Source organism: Homo sapiens, chromosome 16 (genome assembly GCF_000001405.40).
Source record: "Homo sapiens chromosome 16, GRCh38.p14 Primary Assembly".
NCBI classification, from domain to species: Eukaryota; Metazoa; Chordata; class Mammalia; order Primates; family Hominidae; genus Homo; species Homo sapiens.
Genome location: NC_000016.10, coordinates 53332171 through 53349470, shown reverse-complemented (window position 1 = coordinate 53349470; position 17300 = coordinate 53332171). Strand labels below are relative to the sequence as shown.

At 40.4% G+C, this 17300-nt stretch overlaps 1 non-coding gene and 1 pseudogene across 1 annotated transcript; both read right to left on the bottom strand.

Annotated features, from left to right (window-relative positions):
• On the bottom strand, positions 11900-12018 carry RNA5SP427 (RNA, 5S ribosomal pseudogene 427; annotated as a pseudogene).
• Positions 14807-14909, bottom strand: LOC124903784 (small nucleolar RNA U13). Its single transcript, XR_007065230.1, has one exon. It is a non-coding gene; the product is annotated as a small nucleolar RNA U13 (small nucleolar RNA).
• Between the last annotated feature and the right edge of the window lie 2391 nt (positions 14910-17300).

Below are 17300 nucleotides of genomic sequence, written 5' to 3'. Positions count from 1 at the left end.
CTCCAAACGAATGCAGCTCCTCACCAGAAATGGAACAAAGCTGGACAGAGAATGACTTTGACGAGTTGAGAGAAGAAGCCTTCAGACGATTGGTAATAACGAACTTCTCCAAGCTAAAGGAGGATGTTCGAACCCATTGCAAAGAACCTAAAAACCTTGAAAAAAGATTAGATGAATGGCTAACTAGAATAAACAGTGTAGAGAAGACCTTAAATGACCTGATGGAGCAGAAAACCATGGCACGAGAATTATGTGACACATGTACAAGCTTCAAGTGGAAGAAAGGGTATCAGTGATTGAAGATCAAATGAATGAAATGAAGTGAGAAGAGAAGTTTAGAGAAAAAAGAGTAAAAAGAAACAAAGCCTCTAAGAAATATGGGACTATGTGGAAAGACAAAATCTACGTCTGATTGGTGTACCTGAAAGTGAAGGGGGGAATGGAACCAAGTTGGAAAACACTCTTCAGGATATTATCCAGGAGAACTTCCCCAACCTAGCAAGGCAGGCCAACATTCAAATTCAGGAAATACAGAGGATGCCGTAAAGATACTCCTCGAGAAGAGCAACTCCAAGACACATAATTGTCAGATTCACCAAAGTTGAAATGAAGGAAAAAATGTTAAGGGCAGCCAGAGAGAAAGGTCGGCTTACCCACAAAAAGAAGCCCATCAGACTAACAGTGGATCTCTCAGCAGAAACTCTACAAGCCAGAATAGAATGGGGGCCAATATTCAACATTCTTAAAGAAAAGAATTTTCAACCCAGAATTGCATATCCAGCCAAACTAAGCTTCGTAAGTGAAGGAGAAATAAAATCCTTCACAGACAAGCAAATGCTGAGAGATTTTGTCACCACCAGGCCTGCCTTACAAGAGCTGCTGAAGGACGCACTAAACATGGAAAGGAACAACTGGCACCAGCCACTGCAAAACCATGCCAAATTGTAAAGCCCATCGATGCTAGGAAGAAACTTCATCAATTAAAGATCAAAATAACCAGCTAACATCATAAAGACAGTATCAAATTCACACATAACAATATTAACCTTAAATGTAAATGGGCTAAATGCTGTAATTAAAAGACACAGACTGGCAAATTGGATAAAGAGTCAAGACCCATCAGTGTGCTGTATTCAGGAGACCCATCTCACGTGCAGAGACACACATAGGCTCAAAATAAAGGGATGGAGGAAGATCTACCAAGCAAATGGAAAACAAAAAAAGGCAGAGGTTGCAATCCTAGTCTCTGATAAAACAGACTTTAAACCAACAAAGATCAAAAGAGACAAAGAAGGCCATTACATAATGGTAAAGGGATCAATTCAACAAGAAGGGCTGACTATCCTAAATATATATATGCACCCAATACAGGAGCACCCAGATTCATAAAGCAAGTCCTTAGAGACCTACAAAGAGACTTAGACTCCCACACAATAATAATGGGAGACTTTAACATCCCACTGTCCACATTAGACAGATCAACTAGAAGAAAGTTGACAAGGATATCCAGGAACTGAACAAAGCTCTGCACCAAGCAGACTTAATAGACATCTACAGAACTCCCCACCCCAAATCAACAGAATATACATTCTTCTCAGCACCACATCACACTTATTGCAAAACTGACCACATAGTTGGAAGTAAAACACTCCTCAGCAAATGTAAAATAACAGAAATTATAACAAACTGTCTCTCAGACAACAGTGCAATCAAACTAGAACTCAGGATTAAGAAACTCACTGAAAACCACTCAACTACATGGAAAGTGAACAACATGCTCCTGAATGACTACTGGATACATAATGAAATGAAGGCAGAAATAAAGATGTTCTTTGAAACCAGTGAGAACAAAGACACAACATACCAGAATCTCTGGGACACATTTAAAGCAGTGTGTAGAGGGAAATCTATAGCACTAAATGTCCACAAGAGAAAGCAGGAAGGATCTAAAATTGACACCCTAACATCACAATTAAAAGAACTAGAGAAGCAAGAGCAAACACATTCAAAACTAGCAGAAGGCAAGAAATAACTAAGATCAGAGCAGAACTGAAGGAGATAGAGACACAAAAAAACCTTCAAAAAATCCATGAATCCAGGAGCTGGTTTTTTGAAAAGAACAACAAAATTGATAGACCACTAGCAAGACTAATAAAGAAGAAAAGAGAGAAGAATCAAATAGATGCAACAAAAAATGATAAAGGGGATATCACAACCAATCCTATAGAAATACAAACTACCATCAGAGAATACTATAAACACCTCTATGCAAATAAACTAGAAAATCTAGAAGAAATGGATAAATTCCTCGATACATACACCCTCCCAAGACTAAACCAGGAAGAAGTTGAATCCCTGAATAAACCAATAACAGGTTCCGAAATTGAGGCAATAATTAATAGCCTACCAACCAAAAAAAGTCCAGGACCAGATGGATTCACAGACAAATTCTACCAAAGGTACAAAGAGGAGCTGGCACCATTCCTTCTGAAACTATTCCAATCAATAGAAAAAGAGGGAATCCTCCCTAACTCATTTTATGAGGCCAGCATCATTCTGATACCAAAGCCTGGCAGAGACACAACAAAAAAAGAGAGTTTTAGACCAATATACCTGATGAACATCGATGCAAAAATCATCAGTAAAATACTGGAAAACTGAATCCAGCAGCACATCAAAAAGCTTATCCACTATGACCAAGTTGGCTTCATCCCTGGGATGCAAGGCTGGTTCAACATATGCAAATCAATAAAGATAATCCATCATATAAACAGAACCAATGACAAAAACCACATGATTATCTCAATAGATGCAGAAAAGGCCTTCAACAAAATTCAACAGCACTTCATGCTAAAAACTCTCAGTAAACTAGGTATTGATGGGATGTATCTCAAAATAATAAGAGCTATTTATGACAAACTCACAGCCAATATCATACTGAATGGGCAAAAACTGGAAGCATTCCCTTTGAATACTGGCACAAGACAGGGATGCCCTCTCTCACCACTCCTATTCAACATAGTGTTGGAAGTTCTGGCCAGGGCAATCAGGCAGGAGAAACAAATAAAGGGTATTCAATTAGGAAAAGAGGAAGTCAAATTGTCCCTGTTTGCAGATGACATGATTGTATGTTTAGAAAACCCCATCTTCTCAGCCCAAAATCTCCTAGCTGATAAGCAACTTCAGCAAAGTCTCAGGATACAAAATCAATATGCAAAAATCACAAGCATTCCTATACACCAATAACAGACAAACAGAGAGCCAAATCATGAGTGAACTACCATCCACAATTGCTTCAAAGAGAATAAAATACCTAGGAATCCAACTTACAAGGGATGTGAAGGACCTCTTCAAGGAGAACTACAAACCACTGCTCAATGAAATAAATGAGGATACAAACAAATGGAAGAACATTCCATGTTCAGGGACAGGAAGAGTCAATATTGTGAAAATGGCCATACTGCCCAAGGTAATTTATAGATTCAATGCCATCCCCATCAAGCTACCAATGACTTTCTTCACAGAATTGGAAAAAACTACTTTAAAGTTCACATGGAACCAAAAAAGAGCCTGCATTACCAAGACAATCCTAAGCCAAAAGAACAAAGCTGGAGGCATCATGCTACCTGACTTCAAACTATACTACAAGGCTACAGTAACCAAAACAGCATGGTACTGGAACCAAAACAGAGATATAGACCAGTGGAACAGAACAGAGCCCTCAGAAATAATACCACACATCTACAACCATCTGATCTTTGACAAACCTGACAAAAACAAGAAATGGGGAAAGGATTCCCTATTTAATAAATGGTGTTGGGAAAACTGGCTAGCCATATGTAGAAAGCTGAAACTGGATCCCTTCCTTACACCTTATACAAAAATTAATTCAAGATGGATTAAAGACTTACATGTTAGACCTAAAACCATAAAAACCCTAGAAGAAAACTTAGGCAATACCATTCAGGACATAGGCATGGGCAAGGACTTCATGACTAAAACACCAAAAGCAATGGCAACAAAAACCAAAATTGACAAATGGGATCTAATTAAACTAAAGCGCTTCTGCACAGCAAAAGAAACTACCATCAGAGTGAACAGACAACCTACAGAATGGGAGAAAATTTTTGCAATCTACTCATCTGACAAAGGGCTAATATACAGAATCCACAAAGAACTCAAAGAAATTTACAAGAAATAAACAAACAACCCCATCAAAAAGTGGGCAAAGGATATGAACAGACACTTCTCAAAAGAAGACATTTATGAAGCTAAAAGACATGAAAAATGCTCATCATCCTGGCCATCAGAGAAACGCAAATCAAAACCACAATGAGATACCATCTCACACCAGTTAGAATGGTGATCATTAAAAAGTCAGGAAGCAACAGGTGCTGGAGAGGATGTGGAGAAATAGGAACACTTTTATACTGTTGGTGGGACTGTAAAATAGTTCGACCATTGTGGAAGACAGTGTTGTGATTCCTCAAGGATCTAGAACTAGAAATACCATTTGACCCAGCCATCCCATTACTGGGTATATACCCAAAGGATTATAAATCATGCTGCTACAAAGACACATGCACACATATGTTTATTGTGACACTATTCACAATAGCAAAGACTTGGAAGCAACCCAAATGTCCATCAATGATTAACTGGATTAAGAAAATGTGGCACATATACACCATGGAATACTATGCAGCCATAAAAAGGGATGAGTTCATGTCCTTTGTAGGGACATGGATGAAGCTGGAAACCATCACTCTGAGCAGACTATCGAAAGGAGAGAAAACCAAACACTGCATGTTCTCACTCATAGGTGGGAATTGAACAATGACAACACTTGGACACAGGGTGGAGAACATCACACATTGGGGCCTGTCATGGGGTGGGGGTAGGGGGGAGGTATACCATTAGGAGATATACCTAATGTAAATGACAAGTTAACAGGTGCAGCACACCAACATGGCACATGTATACATACGTAACAAACTTGCATGTTGTGCACAGGTACCCTAGAACTTAAAGTATAATAAAAATAAATAAATAAATAAATAAATAAATAAATAAATAAATAAAAAGACAGGAGTAGGCTGGGTGTAGTGGCTCATGCCTGTAATCCCAGCACTTTGGGAGGCCGAGGCGGGTGGATCACAAGGTCAGGAGATCGTGACTGTCCTGGCTAACATGGTGAAACTCTGTTTTTACTAAAAATACAAAAATTAGCTGGCTATAGTGGCACACACCGGTCATCCCAGCTACTTGGGAGGCTGAGGCAAGAGAATCATTTGAACCCGCGAGGCGGAAGTTGCGGTGAGCCGAGATCATGCCACTGCACTCCAGCCTGGGTGACAGAGCAAGACTCTGTCTCAAAAAAAAAAAAAAAAAAAGACAGGAGAAACAACATTTGTCTTGCTCCATTTTTGTGTTGTTATAAAGGAATACCTCAGGCTGAGTAATTTATAAAGGCAAGAGGTTTATTTGGCTCACAGATCTGCAGGCTGTACAAGAAGCACGGTTCCAGCATCTGCTTCTGGTGAGGGCTTCAGGGAGCTTCCACTCATGATGGAAAGCAAGTGGGAACTGTTCTATGCAAAGATCACATGGTTAGAGAGAGGAAGTAAGAGGCAAGGTGGCTGGGGACAGGATAGGGGGGTGCCAGGCTCTTTTTAACAATCAGCTTTTGGCTGGGCACCTTGACTTGCACCTGTAATCCCAACACTTTGGGAGGCCGAGATGGGAGGATTGCTTTGAGACCAGCCTGGATAAAATAGCAAGACTCCCATCTCTACAAAAATTAAAAAGATAAGCTGGTGTGGTGGTGCGTGTCTATGGTGTAAGCTACTTGGGAGGCTGAGGTGGGAGGATTGCTTGAGCCTGGGAGGTCAGGGCTGCAGTGAGCTCTGTTCGTGCCACTGCACTCCAGCCTGGGCGAAAGAGTGAGACCGTGTCTCAGTAAATAAAAAGCAGGTCAAGGATGGTGCCTCATGCCTGTAATCCCAGCACTTTGGGAGGCCAAGGCGGGCAGATCACCTGATGTCAGGAGTTCAAGACCAACCTGGCCAACATGGTGTAACACCCGTCTCTGCTAAAACACAAAAATTAGCTGGGCGTGGTGGTGGGCATCTGCAATCCCAGCTTCTTGGGAGGTTGAGGCAGGAGAATCACTTGAACCTGGGAGGTGGTGGAGGTTGCAGCGAGCCAGGATCGTGCCACTACACTCCAGCCTGGGCAACAGAGCAATACTCCATCTCAAAACACACACACACACACACACACACACACACACACACACACACACACACAAGCAACAACAACAACAACAGAAACAACACATCAGGTCTTTTGGGAGCTAAGGGAAAGAATGCACTCATTATTGGGCACCAGGCCATTCATGAGGGATCCACCTCTGTGACCCAGACACCTCCTAATAGGCCCCACCTCAAACACTGGGGAGCAAATTTCAACCTAAAGGGTCAAATATGCAAACCATAGCAAGCATGTTTGGTGTTGAGGGTAATGACCCAGACCCTTCCTGATCCTGGTCCTGTCTGCTTCCTGTCCTCTTTGAGTAGAGGAAGTGACTTTTCTCTCCTGGATCCCTTCCTCTCCCGCCATCTGAGGAATCTCCTGCAGTTTATGATCCTTATGCAATGTAAAGTGTTGAGCAGCACCGCTGGTATTGTAACCGCCCAGTGGGTTCACCTTGCCCGCTGCCTAGACAGAGCCGATTTATCAAGACAGGGGAATTACAATGGTGAAAGACTAATTCACACAGAGCCAGCTGTGTGGGAGACCAGAGTTTTATTACTCAAATCAGTCTCCCTGAGCATTCGGGGATCAGAGTTTTTAAAGATAATTTGGCAGGTAGAATCTTGGGAAGTGGGGAGTGCTGATTGGTCAGGCTGGAGATGGAATCACAGGGGGTCGAAGTGAGTTTTTCTTGCTGTCTTTGTTCCTGGGTGCAATGGCAGAACTGGTTGAGCCAGACTGCCGGTCTGGGTGGTGTCAGCTGATCCATGGAGTGCAGGGTCTGCAAAGTATCTCAAGCACTGATCTTAGGGTTCACAGTAGTGATGTCATCCCCAGGAGCAATTTGGGGAGGTTCAGATTCTTGGAGCCAGAGGCTGCAGACCCCTAAACTGTAATTTCAAATCTTGTAGCTAATTTGTTAGTCCTGCAAAGGCAGACTGGTCCCCAGGCAAGAAGGGGGTCTTTTTGGGAATGTGCTGTTATCAATTTTGTTTCAGAGTTAAACTATGAACTGAATTCCTCCCCAAAGTTAGTTCAGCCGACATCCAGGAATGAACAAGGACAGTTTAAGGGTTAGAAGCAAGATGGAGTCGGTTAGGTCTGATTTCTTTCACTGCCATAATTTCCTCAGTTATAATTTTGCAAAGGCAGTTTTAGTATCTACCCACTAGCTGCCAGGGGAAACCACCCCACCCACGCAAAAGCTGTAACATGACAAATGTCTCCAGACATCACCAAATGTCTCCTGGGCAGGAAAATTGTCCCCCATTAAGAACCACTGTGATAGGGTAATTAGAGTAGGCTGTTTGTTGGAATCTATGATGAGCATCTTTTTTTTTTTCCCCACAATGTCTCACACTGTCGCCTGGGCTGGAGAGCAGTGGCTCGATCTCAGCTCACTGCAACCTCCGCCTCCCAGGTTCAAGCAATTCTCCTGCCTCAGCCTCCCAAGTAGCTGCGATAACAGGCACCCACCACCACCCCAGGTAATTTTTGTATTTTTAGTAGAGATGGGGTTTCACCATGTTGGCCAGGCTGGTCTAGAATACCTGACCTCAAGTGATCCGCCCACCTCAGCCTCCCAAAGTGCTGGGATTACAGGCATGAGCCACTGTACCTGGCTGAGCATCTCTTTTAAAATATTTTCTCAGGAGAAAAGTAATCGGATTCCCCCTGCTGGAAAACGGGTGTCTTGATGCCAGAATTCTGGGATCCAAGTCAGGAAAAATATTACGATATCAGATATCTGCATTAAGTTTTTAGTGTCAGTCCCTTCCTTCTTTTGTTTTTACCCACATCCTTGCCTGTGCCAGGAGTCCCTCAGGCTAGAAACACCTTCCCAAATAATAAACATCTAGAGTTGAAACCACTGCCACTTTGAGGGAGGAACACAGTGGAATCAGTGGGTTCTGAAATTTTAACTTTCTGAAAAACCACCCTCTTATGCTTAGTGGTAGATGAATTCTGTGCTGCCAGTTCCTAGACCTTTTCAGTGTACTGCAATGCTGACTTGGGGCTTAACTTCCTTCTTTTTTCTTTTTGAAACAGTGTCTCACTCTGTCGCCCAGGCAGTGGCAGGATCTCAGGATCCCGCTCACTGCAACCTCTGCCTCCTGGACACAAGCAAAACTTCCAGCTCAGCCTCCCAAGTAGCTGGGACTACACGTGTGCACCACCACGCTTGGCTAATTCTTAAAAAAATTTTATTGTAGAGATGAGGTCTCACTCTATTGCCTAGTCTGGTCTTGAACTCCTGGGTTCAATAGCTCCTCCCAACTCAGCCTCCCAAAGTGCTGAGATTACAAGCATGAGCTGGGACTTAACTTTTCAAAAGTCTTTCATCAGTTATCGCTGGTCTATTTTCTGTTCAGTTTCTGACATTCTTTTTCTTTTTTTGAGACACATGGTCTCACTCTGTTGCCCAGGCTGGAGTGTGTAGTGTGGCATAACCACAGCTCACTGTAGCCTCAACCTCCCAAGGCTCAGGTGATCCTCCTGCCTCAGCTCTCCAAGTAGCTTGGGACAACAGGTGTGCGCCACCACACCCAGCTAATTTTTGTATTTTTTTTGCAGAGACAGGGTTTCACTATGTTGCCCAGGATGGTCTGGAATTCCTGGGCTCAAGTGACCCACCCACCTTGGCTTCCCAAAGTGCTGGGATTATAGGTGTGAGCTACCATGCCTGGCCTCAGTTTCTGACATTCTGTAATTTTCTTTCTCTTGTTCTCCTTGTACATATGGTTTGCTTTTAAAAAAAATTCCCTTTACAGCAATTTAGTGTAATTTGTGAGGATGCAAAATTATATGCATATGAACAATCCACCACCTTAATCCAGAAAATAGAAATACAGAACTAGCAGGACTTGTTGATGGCTTGGATATGGAGGAGTGAGAGAGGCCCAAGGGTGATGAAGATGTTAGGTCTGAGCAACTGAAATATGGAGGGCAGTAATCAAGAGGCTAGTTCTGAGCCTGTGAAATTTGAGATATCTTTTGGACATCTTAATGGAGATGTCAGGTAATAGATTAAATATACTAGTCTGGAGTTGAAATGGAGGTCTGGGATGAGACATACCTTTTGGAGTGTCCTTGTATAGATGGATTTAGTACCAAAGACTGGATGAGATCACCTTGGGAGTGAGTGCACAGAGGAAGAAAGGAGGGTCCAGAACTCTTGCTTTTCCTCTTAATCCCAGGGATTGCTCTTAGTGGCAGAAGCTGCTACTGTCTAAGACTCACTGGGTAGCAAAACGGGTACACAGAGGGGACAGAGGTGTCTTTACCTCAGTAGGTGCTCCATGGACACCAGGAGTGTGATGGAGTTATGATGTTGCAAAGTGTGAGTTTTTATTAAGACTAGAGTTTAAATTATTATTTTTTTAAGACAGAATCTTGCTCTGCCAGGCTGGAGTTTAGTGGTGCAATCTCAGCTCACTGCAACCTTCATTTCCTGGGTTCAAGCAATTCTTGTGCCACAGCCTCCCGAGTAGCTGGCATTACAGGTGCATGCCACCTCATTTTTGTATTTTTTTTTTTAATAGAGACAAGGTTTCACCATGTTGGCCAGGTTGGTCTTGAACTCCTGACCTCAAGTGATCCATCTGCCTCGGCCTCCCAAAGTGCTGGGATTGCAGGTGTGAGCCACCATGGCTGGTCAAGTTTAACATTTTTTACCTTGAGTTCATAGGTTTTAGTTTTGTTAGCTTATTAAAACCTTTAGAGATATAGTCCATGTACCATACAATTCACTCGTTTAAAGTGTACAATTCAAGGCCAAGTGCATTGGCTCATGCCTGTAATCTCAACACTTTGGGAGGCTGAGGTAGAAGGATTGCTTGAGCCCAGGAGTTCAAGGTTACAGTGAGTGACAGCACAACTGCACTCCAGCCTGGGTGACAGAACGAGTCCCTGTCTCTAAAAGAAAAAAAAAAGGAAACCTGTAACCATTAGCAGTTACATGTGAATGTCCCCAGTCTTAGACAACCACTAATCTCCTTTCTATCTTTATAGATTCACCTATTACAGACAGTTTATATAAATGGAATCATATGTGATCTTTTGTGACTGACCTTGAAACAGAACCCCAAGTTCAGGCTTGTGTGCCTGGCGTGAAGTTGATGCCAAACACTGACACACAGGTGGTTGGAGAGAGAGAAAGGTTTTTTTTGATTTGACTAAAACCAGAAGGTGGGAAAAGCAAAATCTCTCAATTCTGTCTATCAAGAATGAAAAGCAAATAGTTTTATGTGGCTAGAGAGTAAGGTAGGGGGAGTTTCAAGGAACCGAGGGGGAAAAGTCTGCGTTTCTTCAGTCTCGGATAACATCTTGAATAAGCAGATTGCTGGGTTACAGCAGTTGGTTACAATGTCCTTAAAGGACATTCATTCCTTCTGCAAAATAAAATAAAATAAAAGTTTCAAGTTTAATTTTAGATTCAGGGGTTACATGTGCAGGTTTGTTACATGAGTATATTGCATGATACTGAGGTTTAGGGTATGAATGATCCTGTCATCCAGGTACCGAGCATAGTACTCAATAGTTTTTCAACTCCTGTCTCCTTTCCTCCCTCCCCTGGTAGAAGTCCCCAGAGTCTATTGTTGCCATCTTTATGTTCAAGAGTGCCCAATGTTTAGCTCCCACTTATAATTGAGAACATGCAGTATTTAGTTTTCTCTTTCTGCATTGATTCACTTACCATAATGGCCTCCACCTGCATCCATGTTGCAGTAAAGGACATGATTTTGTTCTTTCTTCTGCAAAGTTTTTTCTTTTTTCTTTTCTTTTTTTCTGGGGAGGACGGAGTCTAGCTCTGTCACCCAAGCTGGGGTGCAATGGTGCGATCTCAGCTCACTGCAACCAGGTTCAGGTGATTCCCCTGCCTCAGCCTCCTGAGTAGCTGGGATTACAGGCACCCACCACCACACCTGGCTAATTTATGTATTTTTAGTAGAGACAGAGTTTCGCCATGTTGGCCAGGCTGGTCTCAAACTCCTGACCTCAGGTGATCTGCCTGCCTCAGTCTCCCAAAGTACTGGGATTACAGGCGTGAGCCACCGCACCTGCCCCTTTCTTCTGAAAATTTTTTTCATGACCCTGAAGTTATCTTCTGCTTGACAAAGAAACAGCACATCAGCAGTTTATATTATAATTATATCATGGGAACAAAGGATGCTGGCTTTTGTGTAAGGAAGCAAGGGCCTATGAGAATTTTCATTATTTCAGTCACTAAAAATGTTGGGGTGCTGAAATTTCAAGGGGCTCTGTTACAACTTTTTTCACTTAGAATAATGTTTTCAAGATTTATCTCTGTTGCAACATATGTCAGTCCCTCCTTCCTTTTTATGGTTAAATATTCCATTGTATGGATAGACCACACATCTCATTTATTCATCTGTTGATGGACATTTGGGTTGTTTCTACTTTTGGGCTATTCTGAATAATACCGCTATAAATATTTGTCTGTAAGTTTTCAGGTGAACATGGTTTCATTTCTTTCAGTACATACTAGGAATAGAATTGCTGAGCCATAGGTAACAACATCATGGTTAATAGTTTGAGGAATTGCAAAACTGTTTTCCAAAGGGAAAACAGTTCCCTTTGTTTCTTTTGTTTCTTTTTTTCTTTTTCTTTTTTTTTTCCTTTAAGTCTACAGCACCCAGTATTTCCAGGCAGTCTTCCATGCAAGTACTAACCAGGCCCCACCCTGCCCAGCTTCTGAGATCAGATGAGATCTGGCATGTTCAGGGTGGTGTAGCCATAGACTGGGGCCATGCCTTTGTACATTCCCTCCTGCAATGTGTGAGAATTGTAATTTGTCCACTTTCTCACTAATACTTTTAGTGTCTCTTTAATTCTGGCCATCCTGAGGGGTGTGAAGTGGTATCTCATTTTAGTTTTGATTTGCATTCACATAATGGCCAATAACGTTGAGGACCTTTTCATGTGTGTATTGGCTATTTGTATATCTTTGGAGAAATGTCTGCTCAAATCCATTGCTCCTTTTAAAATTGAGTTTTTATCTTTATTTTTGAGTTGTAAGAGATCTTTATATGTTCTGGATACAAGTTACTTATCAGATACATGATTTACAAATATTTTCTCCAGTTCTGTGGGTTGTTTGTTCTCTTTCTTTTTACTTACTATTATTTTTGTAGATTTGGAGTCTCTCTCTGTTGCCCAGGCTGGTCTTGAACTTCTGGGCTCAAGCAAATTTTCCTGCCTTGGCCTCCTAAAGTACTGGGATTACAGGAATGTGCCACCACGCTCAGCCTTCTCTTTCTTGAAGGTGTCCTTTGAAGCACTAAATATATTAATTTTGATGTTTATTTTTTCTTTTATTACTTGTGCTTTTAATGTCAAGTCTAAGAAGCTTTTGCATAATTCAAGGTCACAAAGATTATTCTATGCTTTCTTCTAAGAGTATTTATTTATTTATTTATTTATTGTCTTGAGACGGAGTCTCACTCTGTCACCCACGCTGGAGTGCAGTGGCGTGATCTCGGCTCATTGCAAGCTCTACCTCCCGGGTTCACGCCATTCTCCTGCCTCAGCCTCCCGAGTAGCTGGGACTACAGGTGCCTGCCACCACGCCTGGCTAATTTTTTGTATTTTTAGTAGAGACGGGGTTTCACCGTGTTAGCCAGGATGGTCTCGATCTCCTGGCCTCGTGATCCGCCTGCCTCGGCCTCCCAAAGTGCTGGGATTACAGGCATGAGCCACCGTGCTCAGCCTCTTCTAAGAGTTTTATAATTTCATCTCTTACGTTTAGGACTATGATCGATTCTGAGTGCAACTTCATTTTTTTGTGTATGGATATTCAGTTGTTCCAAATATCCTTTCCCCCATTGAATTGTCTTGGCACTCTTTTCAAAGATTAACTGCTCATTCAAACGGTACAAAGTTTCTGTTACACAGGATGAATAAGTTGTCGAGATCAAATGTACAACATAATAACTACAGTTAGTAATACTATATTGAATATTTGAAATTTGTTGAGAGTAAATCTTAAGTGTTAACACACACACACACACGGTAACTATGTTAGATGATGGATATGTTAGCTTGCTTGATTGTGGCAATTATTTCACAGCACATATCAAAACAACATGATCAGCTGGATGTGGTGGTTCATGCCTGTAATCCCAGAGCTTTGGAAGGCTGAGGGAGAGGATTGCTTGAGGCCAGGAGTACAGGACCAGCCTGGGCAACACGGCAAGAACCAAGACCTCATCTCTACTATATATATATATATATATATATATATATACATAAATTAGCCAGGCATGGTGTTGCACGTCTGTAGTCCTAGCTACTTCAGAGGCTGAAGGAGAATTGCTTGAGCCCAGGAATTTGAGTCTGCAGGAATTTGCATTACTGCACTCCAGTCTGGGTGAGAGTGAGTCTCTGTCTCAAAAAAAAAAAAAAAAAAAAAAAAAAAAGAAAAAGCAAAAAAGACACGACATCCACTTTTAAATATATACAATTTTTATTTGTCAATTGTACCTCAGTAAGGCTGGAAGAAAAATCAACCAACCATAAATGTTAAGGGTTTATTTCTAAACTCTTATTTCTGTTCCATTAATCCATTTGTTTATATCAATTCCTACACAATACTGTCTTGATTATTATGTCTTTGTAGTAAGTTTTGAAATCAGGAAGTGTGACTACTCCAACTTTGTTCTTTTAAAAAATTTGTTTTGTCTATTTCTGAGTCCCTTGTATTTCTATATGAACTTTAGGATAAAATGGTCAATTTCTGCAAAGAAGCCACCTGGGAATACAATGGATTTTTGTATATTGCTGTCATATTCTGCAACCTTGCTAAGCTTGTTTATTCATTTTCTAATAATAATATTTTGTTTTTTTAGTACATTCCTTAAGATTTTCTATATACAAGATCATATCATCTGAAACAGAGATATTTTTACTTCCTTTTCCCATCTGCATGTCTTTTTTTCTTTTCCTTGCCTTATTGCCCTGGGCAGAACTTCCAAAATAATGTTGAATAAAGGCTAGCAGGAGTGAATATCTTTGTCTTGTTCTTGACTTAGGAGAAAATAGTCTTTCACCAGTAAGAATGGTAGTAGTTGTGGGTTTTACATAGATGTCTTTTATCAGGTTGAGGAAATTGTCTTCTATCCCTAGTTGTTGAATTTTTTTTTCTATTTTTTAATCATGAAAGGGTACTGGATTTTGTGAAATTATTTTTCTGCATCTGTTGAGGTAAGTAATATCACATTGATTAATTCTCATACATCGATCAACCTTGCATTTCTTGAATAAATCCAGCTTGGTCGTGATGTATAGTCCTTTTCATATGCTGATGGATTCAGTTTGCCAGCATTTTTTTTGAGCCTATACTCAAGGGATGTTGGACAGCAGTTGTTTTGCAATGATTTTGTCTACTTTTGGTATCAGGGTAATATTGACCTCATAAAACAAGTTGGGGAGCACTTCCTGTTTCTTTTTTTAGAGGGGTTTGTGAATAGGTGCTAACTTTTTCTCCAGTGAAGCCACAGATTTTCTTTATGGGAAGCTGCTTTTTTTTTCATATCAGATGGGTAATGTGCCCACGTGGTAACAAGGTTCAAGGGGTCACATCTCACATATGTGTGTGAACACCCAATCATCACGCTCATGAACTACAAAAGGATTAAGGGAAGTTTGCTTATAATTAGTAATTAAATCTCTTTACTTATTGTAATTCTATTTAGACTTTGTATTTCTTTTTGACTTAGTTTCAGTAGCGTCTTTCTAGGAATTTGTTCATTTCATCTAGGTTATTTAACCTGTTGGATTCACTTGTTCATAATATTTCCTTATGATCCTTTATGTTCCTGTAAGGTCAGTAGGAATGTCTCTTCTTTCATTTTTGATTCAAGTAATTTGAGTCTTTTCTTTTTGTTGATCAGTCTAAAGTTTTGTCAATTTGTTGATTACCTTAGTCCATTTTCTGTTACTACACAAAATACCACAGAATGGGTAATTTATAAGAAAAGAAATTTATGTCTTATAGGTGTGGAGGCTGGGAAGTTTAAGAGCATTACACTGGCATCTGATGAGGGTCTTCTTGTTGCTTCATAACATGGCAAGAGATTACTTTCCAAAGGCCTCACCTCCAATCGACATATGAATTTGAGGACCACAGTCAAACCATAGCATTGATTTTTAAAAAAATGATCAACTTTTGGTTTCATTTTCTCTATTGTTTTTCCATTCTCTATTTAATTACTGTTCAAATCTTTATTGTTTCCTTACTTTGGCTTGTTTTGTGTTTAGATTGATCTTCTTTTTCTAGTTTCTTAAGGTGGAAAGTCAGGTTGATTTGAGACTTTTTTCCTTAGCATAGATTTCCCACTGTGCACTGCTTTGGCTACATCTCATGTTTTGCAATGTTGTTTTAATTCTTCTCAAGATGTTTTCTAATTTCCACTGAGAGTTCTTCTTTGACCCATTTGTTATTCGAGTATATTGTTTAATTTCCACATAATTGTGAATTTCTAAGCTTCACTATTGAATTCTAATTTTATTCTACCATGCTTGGAAAACATACTTTGTATGATTCAACCTTTTACCTTTCAGACTTGTCTTACAGTCTTTCATATGGTCTATCCTAAAAAATGTTCCATGTATGCTTCAGAAAAATGTCTATTCCTTTATTAAGTGGAATGCTTAATAGATGTCTTTTAGGTTTAGATGGTTTACAGTGTTGTTCAAGTCTTGTTTTCTTGTTGACCCTGTGCCTAGTTGCTCTATCCATTATTGAAAGTTATATTATCCAGACCACTAGCAAGACTAATAAAGAAGAAAAGAGAGAAGAATAAAATAGACACAATAAAAAATGACAAAGGGGATATCACCACCGATCCTACAGAAATACAAACTATCATCAGAGAATACTATAAACACCTCTACACAAATAAACTAGAAAATCTGGAAAAAATGCATAAATTCCTCGACACATACACCCTCCCAAGACTAAACCAGGAAGAAGTTGAATCTCTGAATAGACCAATAATAGGCTCTGAAATTGAGGCAATAATTAATAGCTTACCAACCAAAAAAAAGTCCAGGACCAGATGGATTCACAGCCGAATTGTACCAGAGGTACAAGGAGGAGCTGGTACCATTCCTTCTGAAACTATTCCAATCAATAGAAAAAGAGGGAATCCTCCCTAACTCATTTTATGAGGCCAGCATCATTCTGATACCAAAGCCTGGCAGAAACACAATAAAAAAAGAGAATTTTAGACCAATATCCTTGATGGACATTGATGCAAAAATCCTCGATAAAATAATGGCAAACCGAATCCAGCAGCATATCAGAAAGCTTATCCATCATGATCAAGTGGGCTTCATCCCTGGGATGCAAGGCTGGTTCAACATACAAAAATCAATAAACATAATCCAGCATATAAACAGAAACAAAGACAAAAACCACATGATTATCTCAATAGATGCAGAAAAGGCCTTTGACAAAATTCAACAACACTTCATGCTAAAAACTCTCAATAAATTAGGTATTGATGGGACATATCTCAAAATAGTAAGAGCTATCTATGACAAACCCACAGCCAATATCATACTGAATGAACAAAAACTGGAAGCATTCCCTTTGAAAACTGGTACAAGACAGGGATGCCCTCTCTCACCACTCCTATTCAACATAGTGTTGGGAGTTCTGGCCAGGGCAATCAGGCAGGAGAAGGAAATAAAAGGCATTCAATTAGGAAAAGAGGAAGTCAAATTGTCCCTGTTTGCAGATGACATGATTGTATATCTAGAAAACCTCATCGTCTTAGCCCAAAATCTCCTTAAGCTGATAAGCAACTTCTGCAAAGTCTCAGGATACAACATCAATGTGCAAAAATCACAAGCATTCCTATAAACCAATAACAGACAAACAGAGAGCCAAATCATGAGTGAACTCCCATTCACAATTGCTTCAAAGAGAATAAAATACCTAGGAATCCAACTTACAAGGGATGTGAAGGACCTCTTCAAGGAGAACTACAAACCACTGCTCAATGAAATAAATGAGGATA